The sequence below is a fragment of the Homo sapiens genome, chromosome 1 (assembly GCF_000001405.40).
Source record: "Homo sapiens chromosome 1, GRCh38.p14 Primary Assembly".
NCBI classification, from domain to species: domain Eukaryota; kingdom Metazoa; phylum Chordata; class Mammalia; order Primates; family Hominidae; genus Homo; species Homo sapiens.
Window position 1 is genome coordinate 71509143 of NC_000001.11, and position 20700 is coordinate 71529842.

Here is a 20700-nt window from a genome sequence, read left to right on the forward strand (position 1 = left end):
GAAGAGTAACTGCTATGCATGTGCTGTGAGATGACCTCAGCCACAAGTGGTTCCGTTTCCCCTAGGATGAGATACCAATCCTAAAGGAATGCATTGCATATTGGCTCTATACCAGGACAAGGATGCATGGGGAAATCAGACTTGTAAGAGTCTGTCATTGCTCTTTCCCACATTGCAGAGGTCAGATCCCAGAGTAATCCCTTAGTTCTTTATAGGAAATATGAACCACTCCTCTTGCCTCTCTAGGCAGGGGGCAGAGCCCATGGGATAACTCTTGACTTGTACCCACATCCGACATGCCACTGGTGAGTCAGGCAATGGCAGTTACTCAGCTCTCCATATACCCTGGGCTTATGTCTGGTGGAATTGTGGGAAAAGGAAACTTCGTAACTTGTTACCATACAATTGGACCAGGACTTATGCTTCAGTCCAATTGGCCATTCCCTTCACTCTGGCATTCCATAAAATACCCAAAAATACACATGGCCACTGAAACTGGAGAGATCTAACAAATTCTTTTGATCCCAATATATATGTTAACTCAATAGGAGTCCCAGGTGGGTGCCTAATAAATTTAAGGCCTGAAACCAAATAGCTGCTGGGTTTAAGTCAGCACTCATCTGGTGTTCGACTATTAATGAAAATGTGGATTGAATTAACTACATCTATTATAATCAACAGAGATTCATCAGTTATACTTGGGATGCCCTCAAAGGGGTGGCTAGCCAGTTAGATGCCACCAGCCAAATGGCTTGGGAAACAGGCTTGTGCTAGACATAATAATAGAAGAAAAAGGGGGCATATGTGTTATGTTGGGTGGGAAATGTTGCACTTTCATTCTCAACAATACTGCCCCAGATGGGACCATCACAAAAGCTTTACAAGGTCTAACAACTCTAGCCAATGAACTGGCAGAAAATGCTGGAATTAATGACCCATTAATGGGTTGGCTAGAAGGTTGGTTTGGAAAATAAAAAGGAATGGTGGCTTCAATCCTTATATCTCTCATAATTGTGGCATGAGTCTTAACAGCAGTGGGATGTTGTATTATCCCTTGTGTAAGGGGACTAGCACAGAGATTAATTAAAACAGCTATTAATAAACAAATGCCCATAACTTACCAGCAAAATAACCTGATACTATTAAAAACCAAATTAAACTCACTGTCCTATAAGGAAAAAAGCAAACAACTTCTAGAGTGATTCAAGAATCAAAAGGTTTAGATGAAAATGAGACCAAAGAAAGTAAATAGAAAAGAGGAGGGAATTTGAAAGAAACCATTTTAAATGGTTCATTTTCAAAGCATGATAAATCTAAGTAATGCCAGCCGGCCTACAAATGTAACAAACCACATGGCTCATGCAGCTTGAAGGTCACGATAAGCGAACAGAATGTAGAGGAGGGGTCAGCCCATAAAAGGGAAAAGTTTCATTATTGGGAAATTGAAACTTAAGCAGAGAAGGGGATGGGGTATAACCTTATGGGGGGATAATGAAACTTAGGTGACATCCAGGAAGATTGTAACCACATAGAACTCAACCAATGAGGAACTAGGGGAGGGACTTGCGTTCTAGGAGATAAATTACCTGCTGTATCTGCTCCAGGTGTGCCTGCCTATCAGACACCTGGTCTTGCAAGACTGCTATTAAAAGTCTCACTTCCGCTATACTTTGTGTCTCCAGGTCCATTCTTTGGGTTTGGGTGGGTGAATGTGTGTTTCTCACAGTCAGAGAACAAATATTTTGAAAAAGGAAGCAACACTCAGACTGGAAGGTTGGTACATTGAGTGTACTCATAGTTTTCTCAGGTTGTGAAATGTCTCTCAAGGCATGATTTAGTTAGTAAAACTCTTGAGGCCTGAAACAATATCAAAATGTTCTAAGTCTAGGGCAGACTTCCACAGGGTTACCTTGATAATTTTGCAGATGCAGGCTACAAGGAACTTTTAGAGGGTGCCTTGGAGAAGAGATGGTAAGACAGAGCATTTTGACTGCTTTTCAGCTATTTTAACCGCAGTTGACACCAGCATTCAGCATAATATGCTCTGCAAACTGGATGTTCACTAGTAAGAAAGGAAAGGCAGTATTCCTTGCTGAAGTAAGTTTTGAGAATCCTGAATTAAACATGTTATGATGCTTTTAATTGCAGAAGTTCTCAGTATCTCTAATATTAGTTTCTCATGTATAAATTGAGTTTTTAAGACAGTGATAGAGTATGCAGGGTCTCCAAATCTAGTTGACCAACAGAACCATTTTCTTTCAAAATATGTTACAAGACCAGCATTTGCTATGAAGTATATACATTCCCTTCTGTCTTCTAAAGCCTTTGTTTCACTATTACAAATAATATATACTGCATTCAATTGTGCATCAGAGGCTCAACTGAACATAGTGGAAAGAGTCTAGGCTTCTAAGAGCCCAGAGACTTCCCTAGAAGTTCCACAGAATTGAAGCATTATTTTTACTTATTGATTCTATGTAGATCAATGTCAGGATGTTGTGAAATGAATCATCTGATAGGAACTGCTTTTATGGTTGTGTTGAGATAAGCTGAATCAAAGAGCAATATGTTCTTTTGTTAATGTTCTTAGTGTCACAAAGTATCAGCAGCTGTATTTGCACTGAAAAGATTAGTTAAAGACACACAAAGTCAATATTAAATATAACTGATCTGAATAACTATGTATTGAGAAAACATAATGAGGCCCATCTTTCTTTATGTTCAAACTTAAATTGGCCAAATTCTACATCAGAATTTTAGAATTAAAGTCAAAGAATATGTCCAATTTAGGTTCATATTATAGAGCCTATAGTAGAATTATATTCTGAAAACTTAGGCAGATTTGTTAGAAACGTGTAAACAGTTAGATATACTGAAATTTTAGATGCAAGTAAATGATACGATGCATGAGAAACTCCAGAATATCTTGTTTAATTAAAGTACTATGAATAGTCTTTATTCTCAAATAAAACCAATATTATCCTCTCAACATACACAACTTTCTTTCTTTCTGTAGAATCAAGTGTTATGTTTTTAAAATAACTATCAATTACATTCAAATGGATCTTTTCTGATATGAAATGTTCTCTATTGGGAATATCAAATGTAAAAACAGTTCACCCCTACAGTTTACTTAAAAGTATATAAATTAAAAAAAAAATAACATAATGCTTTACTAAACAAAAGTGAAAATGGAAGCAGATTATCTTGTGATAACAGGACTGTACTCAAGGAAAAAGAATCTGTACTCTTTCTTGTTCTGTATTTCCAACTTTTTAAATGTTATGATATCTAGTTTGAGTACAGTGTATGTATTACATTCAATTGTGCACCACAGGCTCAACTAAAGGCAAAATTTGCACAGCATCTGTTGACAGGAAAACTATGTATAACATTCCTAACTTAAGTAGCACTTAGAAAAAAAAGCATAAATACTAATCGATTTTTTTTTTTTTTTTGAGAGTGAGTCTTGCTCTGTTGCCCAGGCTGGAGTGGAGCACTGAGATCTCGGCTCACTACAACCTGTGCCTCCCAGGTTCAAGCAGTTCTCTGCCTCAACCTCCCGAGTAGCTGGGATTGCAGGTGCCCACCACCACGCCTGGCTACGTTTTGCATTTTTAGTAGAGACAGGGTTCCACTCTCTTGGTCAGGTTGATCTTGAACTCCTGACCTTGTGATCCACCCGCCTTGGCCTCCCAAAGTGCTGGGATTACAGGCGTGAGCCACCACGCCTGGCCATACTATCCGAATTTTTAAAATGTGTAAATAAAATAAGCTATAGGAATAAGATACAGTGGAAAGTAATATATTTACATTAATTATCAAGAAACTAACAGTTTTACTATACATATAACATCGACAAAAAATACCTCATAATTATAGTACACTAGTCAATAGGGCAGATTAAAGAATTTCTCCTGATGGAATAGTTTATGGATACAATTATAGATACAATTCAGAGAGGGTGGATTTAGATGAATCTTACAGAAATCAATTTTATTACCTTATAATTATACTACATATAATTCAAAAACTTAAAATGTGAGGTTTTTTGTTGTTAACTAAGCATATTTAGTTCACTAGTTTGCTGAATATATTTTTCTACCTGTTTTCTGTTTGAGGAATACAGAAATCTACCCCTACCTCCACCTCTCAAAAAAGTGAGTTATGAGGAAAAGCACACAGGGTGGTTTTCATCTTGGAGAATCTGCCATTATTTAGGGTCTGGGTCTCAGTTTTGTGGGACCAGAAACCTATTTTTTCTATGTTTTTGAGTTGATAAAATTGGATAAGGGACTCTTGCTGCATAAATTCTGAACAGGCTAAGGAATACATGCCATTTCCTAAACGTATAACAAAAACTCTGGTGGATCAACATCTTTCTCCTGAAGGCAAGCCAATATTAAATCTGATGTCTATGTTTATGAAGTACATAGAATTTGTAGACATTTTCTTAAAATATCTCAAAGTCCTATTAGGTATATGTTTTCATCCTGATTTTATAGGAGAAACTGAGATTCACGGAAGTTAGGTAGCCTCCTTAAGATCACACAGCAGAGGAGGAGCCAAGATGGCCGAATAGGAACAGCTCCGGTGAACAGCTCCGGTCTACAGCTCCCAGCGTGAGCGACGCAGAAGACGGGTGATTTCTGCATTTCCATCTGAGGTACCGGGTTCATCTCACTAGGGAGTGCCAGACAGTGTGCGCAGGCCAGTGTGTGTGCGCACCGTGCGCGAGCCGAAGCAGGGCGAGGCATTGCCTCACCTGGGAAGCGCAAGGGGTCAGGGAGTTCCCTTTCCGAGTCAAAGAAAGGGGTGACGGACGCACCTGGAAAATCGGGTCACTCCCACCCGAATATTGCGCTTTTCAGACCGGCTTAAGAAACGGCGCACCACGAGACTATATCCCACACCTGGCTCAGAGGGTCCTACGCCCACGGAATCGCGCTGATTGCTAGCACAGCAGTCTGAGATCAAACTGCAAGGCGGCAACGAGGCTGGGGAAGGGGCGCCCGCCATTGCCCAGGCTTGCTTAGGTAAACAAAGCAGCCGGGAAGCTCGAACTGGGTGGAGCCCACCACAGCTCAAGGAGGCCTGCCTGCCTCTGTAGGCTCCACCTCTGGGGGCAGGGCACAGACAAACAAAAAGACAGCAGTAACCTCTGCAGACTTAAGTGTCCCTGTCTGACAGCTTTGAAGAGAGCAGTGGTTCTCCCAGCACGCAGCTGGAGATCTGAGAACGGGCAGACTGCCTCCTCAAGTGGGTCCCTGACCCCTGACCCCCGGGCAGCCTAACTGGGAGGCACCCCCCAGCAGGGGCACACTGACACCTCACACAGCAGGGTATTCCAACAGACCTGCAGCTGAGGGTCCTGTCTGTTAGAAGGAAAACTAACAACCAGAAAGGACATCTACACCGAAAACCCATCTGTACATCACCATCATCAAAGACCAAAAGTAGATAAAACCACAAAGATGGGGAAAAAACAGAACAGAAAAACTGGAAACTCTAAAACGCAGAGCGCCTCTCCTCCTCCAAAGGAACGCAGTTCCTCACCAGCAACAGAACAAAGCTGGATGGAGAATGATTTTGACGAGCTGAGAGAAGAAGGCTTCAGACGATCAAATTACTCTGAGCTACGGGAGGACATTCAAACCAAAGGCAAAGAAGTTGAAAACTTCGAAAAAAATTTAGAAGAATGTATAACTAGAATAACCAATACAGAGAAGTGCTTAAAGGAGCTGATGGAGCTGAAAACCAAGGCTCGAGAACTACGTGAAGAATGCAGAAGCCTCAGGAGCCGATGCGATCAACTGGAAGAAAGCGTATCAGCAATGGAAGATGAAATGAATGAAATGAAGCGAGAAGGGAAGTTTAGAGAAAAAAGAATAAAAAGAAATGAGCAAAGCCTCCAAAAAATATGGGACTATGTGAAAAGACCAAATCTATGTCTGACTGGTGTACCTGAAAGTGATGTGGAGAATGGAACCAAGTTGGAAAACACTCTGCAGGATATTATCCAGGAGAACTTCCCCAATCTAGCAAGGCAGGCCAACGTTCAGATTCAGGAAATACAGAGAACGCCACAAAGATACTCCTCGAGAAGAGCAACTCCAAGACACATAATTGTCAGATTCACCAAAGTTGAAATGAAGGAAAAAATGTTAAGGGCAGCCAGAGAGAAAGGTCGGGTTACCCTCAAAGGAAAGCCCATCAGACTAACAGCGGATCTCTCGGCAGAAACCCTACAAGCCAGAAGAGAGTGGGGGCCAATATTCAACATTCTTAAAGAAAAGAATTTTCAACCCAGAATTTCATATCCAGCCAAACTAAGCTTCATAAGTGAAGGAGAAATAAAATACTTTATAGACAAGCAAATGCTGAGAGATTTTGTCACCACCAGGCCTGCCCTAAAAGAGCTCCTGAAGGAAGCGCTAAACATGGAAAGGAACAACCGGTACCAGCCACTGCAAAATCATGCCAAAATGTAAAGACCATCCAGACTAGGAAGAAACTGCATGAACTAATGAGCAAAATAACCAGCTAACATCATAATGACAGGATCAAATTCACACATAACAATATTAACTTTAAATGTAAGTGGACTAAATGCTCCAATTAAAAGACACAGACTGGCAAATTGGATAAAGAGTCAAGACCCATCAGTGTGCTGTATTCAGGAAACCCATCTCACGTGCAGAGACACACATAGGCTCAAAATAAAAGGATGGAGGAAGATCTACCAAGCCAATGGAAAACAAAAAAAGGCAGGGGTTGCAATCCTAGTCTCTGATAAAACAGACTTTAAACCAACAAAGATCAAAAGAGACAAAGAAGGCCATTACATAATGGTAAAGGGATCAATTCAACAAGAGGAGCTAACTATCCTAAATATATATGCACCCAATACAGGAGCACCCAGATTCATAAAGCAAGTCCTGAGTGACCTACAAAGAGACTTAGACTCCCACACATTAATAATGGGAGACTTTAACACCCCACTGTCAACATTAGACAGATCAACGAGACAGAAAGTCAACAAGGATACCCAGGAATTGAACTCAGCTCTGCACCAAGCAGACCTAATAGACATCTACAGAACTCTCCACCCCAAATCAACAGAATATACATTTTTTTCAGCACCACACCACACCTATTCCAAAATTGACCACATAGTTGGAAGTACAGCTCTCCTCAGCAAATGTAAAAGAACAGAAATTATAACAAACTATCTCTCAGACCACAGTGCAATCAAACTAGAACTCAGGATTAAGAATCTCACTCAAAGCCGCTCAACTACATGGAAACTGAACAACCTGCTCCTGAATGACTACTGGGTACATAACGAAATGAAGGCAGAAATAAAGATGTTCTTTGAAACCAACGAGAACAAAGACACCACATACCAGAATCTCTGGGACGCATTCAAAGCAGTGTGTAGAGGGAAATTTATAGCACTAAATGCCTACAAGAGAAAGCAGGAAAGATCCAAAATTGACACCCTAACATCACAATTAAAAGAACTAGAAAAGCAAGAGCAAACACATTCAAAAGCTAGCAGAAGGCAAGAAATAACTAAAATCAGAGCAGAACTGAAGGAAATAGAGACACAAAAAACCCTTCAAAAAATCAATGAATCCAGGAGCTGGTTTTTTGAAAGGATCAACAAAATTGATAGACCGCTAGCAAGACTAATAAAGAAAAAAAGAGAGAAGAATCAAATAGACACAATAAAAAATGATAAAGGGGATATCACCACCGATCCCACAGAAATACAAACTACCATCAGAGAATACTACAAACACCTCTACGCAAATAAACTAGAAAATCTAGAAGAAATGGATACATTCCTCGACACATACACTCTCCCAAGACTAAACCAGGAAGAAGTTGAATCTCTGAATAGACCAATAACAGGCTCTGAAATTGTGGCAATAATCAATAGTTTACCAACCAAAAAGAGTCCAGGACCAGATGGATTCACAGCCGAATTCTACCAGAGGTACAAGGAGGAACTGGTACCATTCCTTCTGAAACTATTCCAATCAATAGAAAAAGAGGGAATCCTCCCTAACTCATTTTATGAGGCCAGCATCATTCTGATACCAAAGCCGGGCAGAGACACAACCAAAAAAGAGAATTTTAGACCAATATCCTTGATGAACATTGATGCAGAAATCCTCAATAAAATACTGGCAAACCGAATCCAGCAGCACATCAAAAAGCTTATCCACCATGATCAAGTGGGCTTCATCCCTGGGATGCAAGGCTGGTTCAATATACGCAAATCAATAAATGTAATCCAGCATATAAACAGAGCCAAAGACAAAAACCACATGATTATCTCAATAGATGCAGAAAAAGCCTTTGACAAAATTCAACAACCCTTCATGCTAAAAACTCTCAATAAATTAGGTGTTGATGGGATGTATTTCAAAATAATAAGAGCTATCTATGACAAACCCACAGCCAATATCATACTGAATGGGCAAAAACTGGAAGCATTCCCTTTGAAAACTGGCACAAGACAAGGATGCCCTCTCTCACCGCTCCTATTCAACATAGTGTTGGAAGTTCTGGCCAGGGCAATCAGGCAGGAGAAGGAAATAAAGGGTATTCAATTAGGAAAAGAGGAAGTCAAATTGTCCCTGTTTGCAGACGACATGATTGTTTATCTAGAAAACCCCATCGTCTCAGCCCAAAATCTCCTTAAGCTGATAAGCAACTTCAGCAAAGTCTCAGGATACAAAATCAATGTACAAAAATCACAAGCATTCTTATACACCAACAACAGACAAACAGAGAGCCAAATCATGAGTGAACTCCCATTCACAATTGCTTCAAAGAGAATAAAATACCTAGGAATCCAACTTACAAGGGACGTGAAGGACCTCTTCAAGGAGAACTACAAACCACTGCTCAAGGAAATAAAAGAGGACACAAACAAATGGAAGAACATTCCATGCTCATGGGTAGGAAGAATCAATATCGTGAAAATGGCCATACTGCCCAAGGTAATTTACAGATTCAATGCCATCCCCATCAAGCTACCAATGACTTTCTTCACAGAATTGGAAAAAACTACTTTAAAGTTCATATGGAACCAAAAAAGAGCCCGCATCGCCAAGTCAATCCTAAGCCAAAAGAACAAAGCTGGAGGCATCACACTACCTGACTTCAAACTATACTACAAGGCTACAGTAACCAAAACAGCATGGTACTGGTACCAAAACAGAGATATAGATCAATGGAACAGAACAGAGCCCTCAGAAATAATGCCGCATATCTACAACTATCTGATCTTTGACAAACCTGAGAAAAACAAGCCATGGGGAAAGGATTCCCTATTTAATAAATGGTGCTGGGAAAACTGGCTAGCCATATGTAGAAAGCTGAAACTGGATCCCTTCCTTACACCTTATACAAAAATCAATTCAAGATGGATTAAAGATTTAAATGTTAGACCTAAAACCATAAAAACCCTAGAAGAAAACCTAGGCATTACCATTCAGGACATAGGCGTGGGCAAGGACTTCATGTCCAAAACACCAAAAGCAATGGCAACAAAAGCCAAAATTGACAAATGGGATCTAATTAAACTAAAGAGCTTCTGCACAGCAAAAGAAACTACCATCAGAGTGAACAGGCAACCTACAACATGGGAGAAAATTTTCGCAACCTACTCATCTGACAAAGGGCTAATATCCAGAATCTACAATGAACTCAAACAAATTTACAAGAAAAAAACAAACAACCCCATCAAAAAGTGGGCGAAGGACATGAACAGACACTTCTCAAAAGAAGACATTTATGCAGCCAAAAAACACATGAAGAAATGCTCATCATCACTGGCCGTCAGAGAAATGCAAATCAAAACCACTATGAGATATCATCTCACACCAGTTAGAATGGCAATCATTAAAAAGTCAGGAAACAACAGGTGCTGGAGAGGATGTGGAGAAATAGGAACACTTTTACACTGTTGGTGGGACTGTAAACTAGTTCAACCATTGTGGAAGTCAGTGTGGCGATTCCTCAGGGATCTAGAACTAGAAATACCATTTGACCCAGCCATCCCATTACTGGGTATATACCCAAAGGACTATAAATCATGCTGCTATAAAGACACATGCACACGTATGTTTATTGCGGCACTATTCACAATAGCAAAGACTTGGAACCAACCCAAATGTCCAACAATGATAGACTGGATTAAGAAAATGTGGCACATATACACCATGGAATACTATGCAGCCATAAAAAATGATGAGTTCATGTCCTTTGTAGGGACATGGATGAAATTGGAAACCATCATTCTCAGTAAACTATCGCAAGAACAAAAAACCAAACACCGCATATTCTCACTCATAGGTGGGAATTGAACAATGAGATCACATGGACACAGGAAGGGGAATATCACACTCTGGGGACTGTGGTGGGGTTGGGGGAGGGGGGAGGGATAGCATTGGGAGATATACCTAATGCTAGATGACACGTTAGTGGGTGCAGCGCACCAGCATGGCACATGTATACATATGTAACTAACCTGCACAATGTGCACATGTACCCTAACACTTAGAGTATAATAAAAAAAAAAAAAAATTAAAAAAAAACAAAAAAAGATCACACAGCAAGTGAATCACAAAGTCAAATGCACACTGAAGTCTTAGGCAGCCCATTTTGATATGGTACTTCCAAACTGAGATGTGTAGGAATACATTTTAAGAGAAAATATGAAAAAATTATAGACCTGAGACTAGGTGTGTGTACCTGGGGTTTTTAAAACTTTCTCATTATTCACAGCTAAGGAAAGGTCTTTTAAAAAATATCTAGTAAAATGATTATTTGAGGATTATCTAATACACAAAAAAGACAAAATTTCAACTTTTTTCACAGAATTTGTGGGTCCCTAAAAATATGGGTGAGAAGGTGGGATGAGAAACTGGCTTAATTTTTAAGTTTGTAGGAGTTGGAGTCAGACGAACTCTGACCATACTTATTAGCTCTCTCAGCTTCAGATTCTTCTGTAAATTGGGATGAAAATGACCAGTGGTGGGGTTGTCATGATGGTTAACTGAGATAATGGATTTAAAATTATTTAACACAGTGTCTGCCACAGACTAATTGCCTAGTAAATAGTAATGCCTTTTATTTGGATTCCACTGCAATGCTGACATGCTGTGGAGACAGGCTGACCTACCTCCAATGTCATAACGTTGCTCCGTAAGCGTGGAATCAGATGTAGTCTCAAGAATCCATTGCTCTTTTCGAAGCAAACTCAGTTGCATTTTGTGTGCCAGAGAAATCTCCCTTGGACAGGCTTAAGTGAGGGAGTCAATACATGGTTTTGTCTCAATGATTCCCACTGGCAGGTTATGGACTAATATATACATTCTTTAATTACAATAATTAATGAATTAGTTACAAATTAACTCAGGTCAAAAGCCTAGAACCCTTTTTTGGTTATTCAGAATTGTGTTTAAGTCTTTGCTCTTTACACTTAAAGGGAAGATTGATGTCCCAAATAAGTAGTACCTCATTTCAGCTCCTGTGCACTACCCTACTGTGAAGCCTGTCTTGTGTAAAAGCATGTAAAATCAACTAACTATAGCTCCTATTTAGTGTCATAGGCATGGCTGGGGCAGGGAAAGACAATACAGGAGAGCAGATGGAGAAAATGGGAAGGTGATTTCACATATGACTTAAGAAATTACAAGTTACCCTGCTTTTACTTGCCACCAAATGCCTTCTGTCACTCCACCCCAATCCAGCAGGAACTGAAGGTTCATTAATCTGTGATTAGATTAACCCACTGAAAATTTCTGTGTTTGCATGAGATCCATGATTTTTGCAAGTTGCTGGAGAAAGGGACAAGTTAGCTGTGACTTGTCACTCTAGGGAATCTTAATTAGCAGCCCGTTAATTTGGGAATTTGTAGAGTTCTTTTCTCTTAGTTGAGCTTATTTCCCAGAGACTCTTACTTGGGGTCAGAGATTTATGTTTTTCTCATTCTAAAGTCCTAGATTCAATGTAGATATTTCAAGTACAAAAGCACTACATACCCAGCTGAATGGAAAACGGTCAATTTAACTAAGCTTATAAGGATACCAGAGCAATTTCACAGCTGATTTAGACCCATAGACCTTTCATACCCCGTTTATAGGAAACTCATAGAATTTAAGAGATGAAAGCAAAGTTTAAGATTATCTGGCCCAATCCCTCCACTATAGAGAGACTATGTTACCAGTGGAATGAGATTTGTTGAGTACAGGGGCCACATCTTTTTCATCAATGTTTCTGAATGAGTTGAGACATGCCTGAAGCCCTAAACATAATTGACTAGACTTCAAACCTTTTGAATAAGTAAGAGTTTCCTAATCACACTCTACTATATTTCTTGAGTACATCATCCTATCTCACTCAGTCCCAAACAAATGAAAATTTAAATACAAACAGATTGTGTGGCACAGTATGTTTCAACAACCAGGAAACAGGACTACATTTTTCATTTTTCAATTGTCAGTAGGTATGAACAGTTTCAATATGTTACCATTAAGTGTATAGGAGCAACTCTTGTTCAAGGGATTAGTACAAATAATAGTCTGATGAAATATTTTTATAAGAGGGGAGAAGATACTACAAAATTCAAACACAAATCAGTCTATGGAAACAACACTTGAGAGTCTTCAGCAGAGAATATAGCCCAGAGGTGCCACCTAGTGACTGCATTCTGCTGGCTGTGAAAAGCATAGTTAACATGGGGGATGAGATTTGTACATATTAATATTTCAAGTCATCTTTAAATACATAACATAAATGTCTATTCATAATTTTTTCTGCTCTGTCAAATTCAGAAAATAAAATGAGTAATGAACTGAAAGCCTTTGAAAGCCACAAAGGCAAAAATAAAAACATAAGGTATTTATCAAAGTGCTTTGCTCTTATGGGTGCACACACATGTCCTTGGTTCTAAATAAATATGATAAATAGAATTTCTAGTGTATGATGGGATTAAAAAGGATATAATACATTCCTGACTCCACCATTGTATTTTAGGGTTATATTCTAAGATTTATTTTTATTCGAAGCCCAGTATGTAGCACATAATATATACTAGGCAAGGGATGTTGAATTAGTGAATGCATTAATGCAAAAATGTTATATAAATCCTTGAATTTAAGAAATTTCAAGAGAGAAGACACTGGCTTGGAAAGTGGACAGTTCCAATTTGTCCTCACTGTCTACTCAACCAGGTATGATGACTACCTTTGTGTCTGAGTATAATCTCATTTTAAAATCAGAGTAATCCTGATATCAAGGAAGTTTGGTGGTTTAAGTGGAGGAGAGTGGTAGCGAAAGAGGTAAGGCCAGAAAAGGGACAAAAAAAGTGCTATGAATGAAATACAAAGATTGGTGAAATGTCATCATTTCTGCTTGGTAGCAGAAATTATTTCTAATTAAGTAAATTTTAAGTAAATAAGTAATCAGAAATTACTTACTCATGGTGTGGGCCTAGTCAGCTTGCCCTCATGAATTGTAAAATGGGTAGATAAAATGCTGCTATTTTCCTCCCCTCTACCCCCCCCTTACACACACACACACACACACACACACGCACAATACTTTTTAAAAACCAAGCCTAACAGTAAAGGTACAGACTCACACGCTCCTATGTGTGCTTGCCTAATAACTGTAATGCCCTGTTGAGCCAGATACAATAAAAAACAATAAGTAAATGTGATGAGTATTTCATGAATTGGAAAGATTTTGATTGCCTGGCTGCATGATCAGAGGCATAAAGTCCTCTTGGCCTTATGCCCACGAGCCAGCCAATGGTCTTTTGAAAACCACAAAAATCTTTAAGACTCAAAGTGTGATATGAAAGATGTCATGTTTTGTTGTTTGTTTAAATGAACAAAAGATGGTTGGTTCACCTCAGGAAGAAAACTGGTTAGCATTTTATTAAATAAAAGTGCCCAAACAGGGCCTCCCTGATAATCTTCTTGGAGCCAATGAGCAGGTAAGTTTGGGTTGTTGGGTTGTTGTGAGGATGGGAGGAGCCAATGAGCAGGTAAGTTTGGGTTGTTGGGTTGTTGTGAGGATGTTGGGTTGTTGTGAGGATGTAATTTCATTTACATATGCAGGAAGATCCTAACATAATGCAGAAAGATCCTTAACACATGAAATATTTACTGAATTTCTGGGTTGTTGGGTAAGTTGTTCAGACTCTCTGAACTTCAAATTCCTTACCTGTTCATATATTGTAAGATTATTTTTGAGAAGTAGATGTTTGTTGAAAATACTTTTTAAACTATAACTCACTTTGAAATATGAGTATGAATATTACCACCTTCAAACAAAGCACAAAACAGCCTTGTCTATTTGCACTTGCAAAATATCTACCTAGTTTATTTAAGGTAAACAATGGGATAAAGATGCAAAGTCGGCTACTGATGCTGGCTAGATGACCAGGCAGAGTCCAAGCATCTGGATTTCTGGATTTAGCGATTTATATGGCAACAGGAAGGCTCTCCTGCCTACTAATATTCCCACAATGAGCCTGTTTCTAATTTCCATCATTAGAAATAAATTAGGGTTAAATAGGAAGCTTCTTTTAAAATACAAATAACTCTAGGAAGGTGCATATTTGCAAGCATGCATCAGTTTAACACTGATCTGCTAATAACAACTGGATGAAATTTGCTAATTTTGGACTACAGGCATTATTTGTGATCCTCAGTATAGCGAGAAGCTCTGGGCTAGGAGGACTGACAGAAAAGCAAAAATTAGAGGGCTCATATTCTAAGTAATTTTACCTTATTCTTCTAAATGCAAAATCTTCATTTAAACAATTTTTTTTCATTTTCTGTTTGCTTTTGCTATTTCAAAATTAAGGCCAACTTAAAATATATGCATGCCTACTTAGAATAACCACAAGCAAGCATTTGCTTGTTGGCTTTTACAGAATCCTATGTCCAGGAAAGAAACTATTTCCTACATGCATTATTGAAAGACTAATCATTTATTAGACCGAAAGTCATTAACTCTAATTGTTTCAAGATTTACTTGCATTTATGATTCTTTCCTGTTATAGATGCCTTCTCTAACTATCAGTGGGCCAGTTGGGATTTATATTTTACATTAAGATCTTGGAGTCTTCTTTTTAAATAGGAGTGTGTGTGTGTGTGTGTGTGTGTGTGTGTGTGTGTGTGTGATATCAACCAATTTGATAAAATATTGTAAAATTATTGGTAATATGGCTTGATAAATATAATCTTTTCAATGAAAATCATTACCTTTTTAATAGTAAAATAGTTGCTTATAAACATTTACTATAAAAGTCAATATTCAAATAGCTTGTACTCTAACAAAATTCATTACCTGAATATTGGAAAAATTCAAGGAGGCTTGGTAGGTTCTGAAGGAAAATATTAGATGTAGAAAAAAGGAAGTATTTGTTCACCTGGTATGGTTTACGGAGTGATGACCATCCAAAGATGTCTACATTCTAATTCCCGAAACCTGGGAATTTATTACATTATGTAGCTAAGGGGAATTAAGGTAGCAGATTGGATTATGATTAGCTGACTTTAAAATAGGTAGATTATCCTGGATTATCCAAGTAAATCCAGTGTAAACACATGTATTCTTAAATGCAAAAGAGGGAGACTGAAGAGTCAGTGTCACCGTGATGTGACATGAGAAAAATTTGAGTGGCCATTTCTGGCTTTGAAGATGGAAGAGGCACATGAGCAAAAGAACATGGACAGCTTCTAGAAGTTGGAAAATGCGGAAAATAGATTTTCTCCTACAGCTCCAGAAAAGCACACAGCCCTGCTGACATCTTGATTTTAGTCAGGGAGACCCATTTTGGACTTCTGACCTCCAAAACTATAAGATAATACATTTATGTTGTTTTAAGCCACCATATTTGTGATAATTTATTACAGCAACAAAAGGAAATTAATACACCTAGGAAATCATTCATTCACCCATCCATTCTTTCATTCAACAAATCTTATGTGTTTCCTAAGTGCAAGGCACAATCACATTCATCTAATCAGTGTTCAGCCTGTAGGGCTGTCTTTTGTTAACTTCTATTTTCTTTCTTTCCACTGGTAAACCAGAAATAATTAGGTGAGGAAAAAATTTTTCCCTTCCTCTTAGGAATTTTGGGGGGAAATTCTATTTTCCACCAGCCTTTGTTTCCCTTCCTTTTTGCAGATATATTTTTGAAATGCTCTCCCATTATAAATCTGGCCTCTATGCTGGACTTGCAATAATCAATGCTTATTTGACTTAAAATCTAAATTATAAAGATAGGTATTTCAATTCTTCTAATTTCCCATCCAGCTGAAATCCTCCTCACATTAACTCACTCATTCATTTATGCATTTATGCAGTGAGTTCAGTTCTTACCATGCTTCACTCACTCTTTCAGACACTGTACAGAGAATGATTTTTTAACAAGGAACAAAAAACTTGTTTCCTGTTCTAAAGAATCTTGCAATCTAGAGTTGTAGCAGACACATACCTCCAAATATAATGTAAGGTATTAAGTGTTTTGGTAATTGTGATGTCACTCTATAATTAGACAGTACAAGATACTTGCTATATACTTAATAAGGACTTACATTTATAAGTCTGTTTTATGTATATAAAACAGAGTAATAGTAATCATCAGTCATTTTAATACTTATGCTATATAACAATCATTTGATTTAACATATTAAATACTTGTGATTAGTACACGTGGTGCCTGACTTTGAAGCATTGATCTATATCTTTAGTGGCATGTTACTTTGAGCCGAGAGTAAATCATAAGCCAAATAGCCTAAAATAATATTTTGAGACAGAGCTGAAGATATGTTAAGGAAGAAAGAATTGAATAGTGAGAAACAGAGATTAGAAAGCACCTACTTTTTTATCTTTTTAAATAATGAGCATCATATTCTAAATTGCATCGTAGGTTTTCTGCTATACTTTTATCTGGAAATTAATCAACTAATTATGGATAATTATAATTAATATCTGAATTCATTATATTCAGGCATATTAATTGGAATTTGAAATATATTCTGAGCTGTCTTAAATTTTTTACACTCTAACAATCAGAGAATAATGGAAGCTTGATTATTTTAAATTAGGAAAAAACCCTACAAACCTTAAAATAAGCTTTGTAATAATAGACTTTGCTTGATGCCTCCTCACTCTCATTCTTACCTTTCTTATTACTTTTACAGTATTATGTCTGCACAGTATACACAGTAATAGTATTCTCCTGTGTAAAGTAAAATAAAACACTGAATCTTTTGTTCCAAACAACAGGATAAAGTCCAAGACATTTGGCATGACATTTATGGTATTTTCCCCATCTCGGTTGGTACCCCACCACCCACAGAGAGAGGTGGGAGTCATCCTTGTTTCACTCTCTCCCTGTCCTCAGAATCAAATCAACAAGTAAGCCCTGATATGTTTGCCGTTGCAATAATTCTTGAATTAGTTCCATTCTCTCCTTCCTACTATCACTATCACATATGAGGTTTTCATCATTTCTTTCCTGGCATTATATAATAACCTTTTCTGATGCCCGTCTTATTCACGTTAATTAGACCTTGATCCTGACTCTCAGAGTTACATAGGAAGCCTAATAATCAGCCTATGCCTACGGGTAAGTAGATCAAGCTTACAGCAAGGAACACAAGACCCTTCAGTGATCCAGCCTGTCTACTTTCTCAGCCTCACTGCACTTTCTGCTCAGTTTACACTCCAGAAATTATTTGAAGTTTCCCTCAAACACACCATATTCTTCTATGTCTCTGTACCTTTGTCCACATTGAACTGTTTGTCTAGAATGGCTTTTGCCTAAACTAACAAATTCATGAATCACATCCTCTAGAAAGCCTTTTATGATATTTTTAAAGCCATATCTGAGTTTGAAGAGTGCATTACACATATTTCTCTTATAGCACATATTGTATTACATAAATCTGTTTTGTTTTCATGTCCCTCTCATTCATTGAAATGTGAGATTCACAAAAATAAATAATGGTCCAATCACTTTTGCATCTCTGATGCATGGTTCAGTGTCTCACACATTCAGATGCTCAATAATTTTTTGAGAACTGACAGAAACCACAGAAGGTGACTTACTCCCAACTTCCACCAGTTTCCCTACTTTTCTAAAGCTCTACCTCTATGAACCACAAATAAGTGTGTCTTCCATTCATCCACCATCCATCCATCCATCCATCCAACCACCATCCATCCATCCATCCATCCATCCATCCATCCATCCATCCATCCATGGGTAATCAGGCATATGCATCTGGTCTAGTCATTAAGATTTTCGAATTTTGTTTAGTAAATAAATAGATAAATTACCCAACCTTCTTGCTATTGTGTGATTATTTGATAGTTGAATATTTTCACCCCTCTCTATTCCCGAATGAGTTTTATTAGAGTACACTATCACAATCTATGAGATTCCTTTTATGTTCTACTTCTGTGGATTACTTATGGGTTTTCTAAAGCATTCATTCACTAATTTATTTATTCACTTATGGAGGAAAGATAATCTATTGACAATTGGACTTTTTTTTTTAGCATAGAACTTGATGATACAATTTTAAAAGGTTGTTTATTATCCTATTTCAATTACCATAGGAAATGCTAGCATAAAAAGTATTTTTAGAAACCTCTATTATCTATAAATCACAAGAGAGTGAATATTGGTAGTAAGTTAATTTTGGTAGAAAATTAATTCTGTTTTTTATTGTATTGTCTTCTCTTACATGGGTTTTTTAAATGATGAAAGTTAGACACAACCCAATGTAAAGCAAACAGTGTTACGTAGCTTTTGTCAGGAAACTAACTTCTGTATTCATTTTTTTGGTTCAAACGCTTTGCTAAGTGGTTCAGCATTTTTGCTGAAATCATCTGGCATACATGGAAGACCTGCTAAATACTAAGCACTCTATTAGATAATAAAGATATAGAAATTAAGTCAGTTTTTACCCCTAGTCTTCTACATTTTCTACCATTTTGACTTTTTAAGTTTTTGCTTGCTATGGTACTCCCATTTCTTGCTAACTATACCTAATCCATGAAGATTCTGTTCATATATGTGAAGATTTCCCCCAGGCAAAATTGTCTGATTTTTCTTTAGTATGAAACTATAGAATATATCATATTAAGTAATGGATAGTTATACATATGCCTATCTCTTTTATAGATTATAAACACCTTTAAGATAATAACCTATGCTCCTAGTACTCAGTGCTTGATACAGCTGTTACTCAATAAAGTTTTGCTAAATGACAAACTATATCCTTCACAGGAAATAGAAAATGGATCTTCCTGGGGTAAGTTAAACAAAGACATTTTCCTTTTTAACAAAATACAGTAAACTAGCAAAGTGAAAAATTATTTTCTAAGTACATGAATCAGATAGCATTTATTCAATTTAAAGTGGAATTTCTTTACATAATATGGTATCTTGTGGTGAATTTAAATAATTCAGTTTACAAACATTAAATTCTGTTTTTTCAAAAACAGTTCTGTTGTTGAAAATGAGGCAAACATTTGATGATATAGCTGTAGGCATTTCAATATTGGTTTGGCTGTATGCTTGCTCAGTGACCTTTGGTAAAAAAACAATTGTTTCGGTTTTTTCCCTTGACTGTCAACGGGAACTAGATTGTTTCATAGACTTAAAAATGATCTTAAAACACCCATAAATACAATGTGCTTAATGATAGCCATTTTAAAATAGTGACACTGTACAAGTCCAACTTAAGAGTCTACATTGACTTTTTTTGGTTTATTTTTAGGTATAGATGAATCGTATTTCAAAACTACTTCTCCATTTGTCTAAAGACACATAAATAAAGCATTTTTTTTTACTATGAATAACAACAGCATTCAGTTAAAGATTAAATTATTTTCAGAATAAAAATTTTTAGTTGATGACTGCTAAAGATTATTTCTAGGGACAAAGTAAGGACAGATGCTAGGTGGGGTATTTGCGGTGCATTAAACAAATATTTAATTTTAATCATCTGCCTATAGACTAAAAATGGTTTGCCGAATTAATGTTTATTAAATGTTTTGAATCTATATGAAGCTAAGTGAATACTGGTAGGACTACAATTTTAACTTTTTAGATTATTAGCTTGATGCTTTAGAGATAATTATGACCTAGGAATATAAAACCAGCATTAGGGCATTATTGTGAATTTAATCTAGATTGGGAAGTTCAGTCTTGAATTGCAGGGATCAAGGTCACAGACTACTTGTGTAATGTATTCAGACAGACAGGCTACACAAAGCAACCCAATAAATAATTTTAGGATTAATAGTTTGTTTTAGGCAGAGTAGATACCCTTAAGCTCCTTTCCACTCTTTAAAATAAAAGTCCAACATAAATATTAAAATACACTTCGAAGATGATCTCAAGAATGTGTTTGTTTTTTTCAAAAAGTAAATAGAAATGATTTATGTCATTGAATAAGATTACACTGGTTTAGTAAGAGATGGTAAGCATTTTTAGCTCGATGGCCATTGTCCAGAATAACTTATAGTCCAGCACAACAATTACAATAAAGGTAGTATGAATTTGCTAATTCACCATATATCTCATTCATTGTGAAAAACGCCCCTTACCTTTCAAACTGAGACTGAGACTAATGAAAGAATAGT

At 37.3% G+C, this 20700-nt stretch overlaps 1 protein-coding gene across 1 annotated transcript in view; it reads right to left on the reverse strand.

Annotated features, from left to right (window-relative positions):
* The window catches only part of NEGR1 (neuronal growth regulator 1), an 886597-nt gene that overhangs the window by 113200 nt on the left and 752697 nt on the right, over positions 1-20700 (reverse strand). The gene's annotated exons all lie outside the window — the stretch shown is intronic.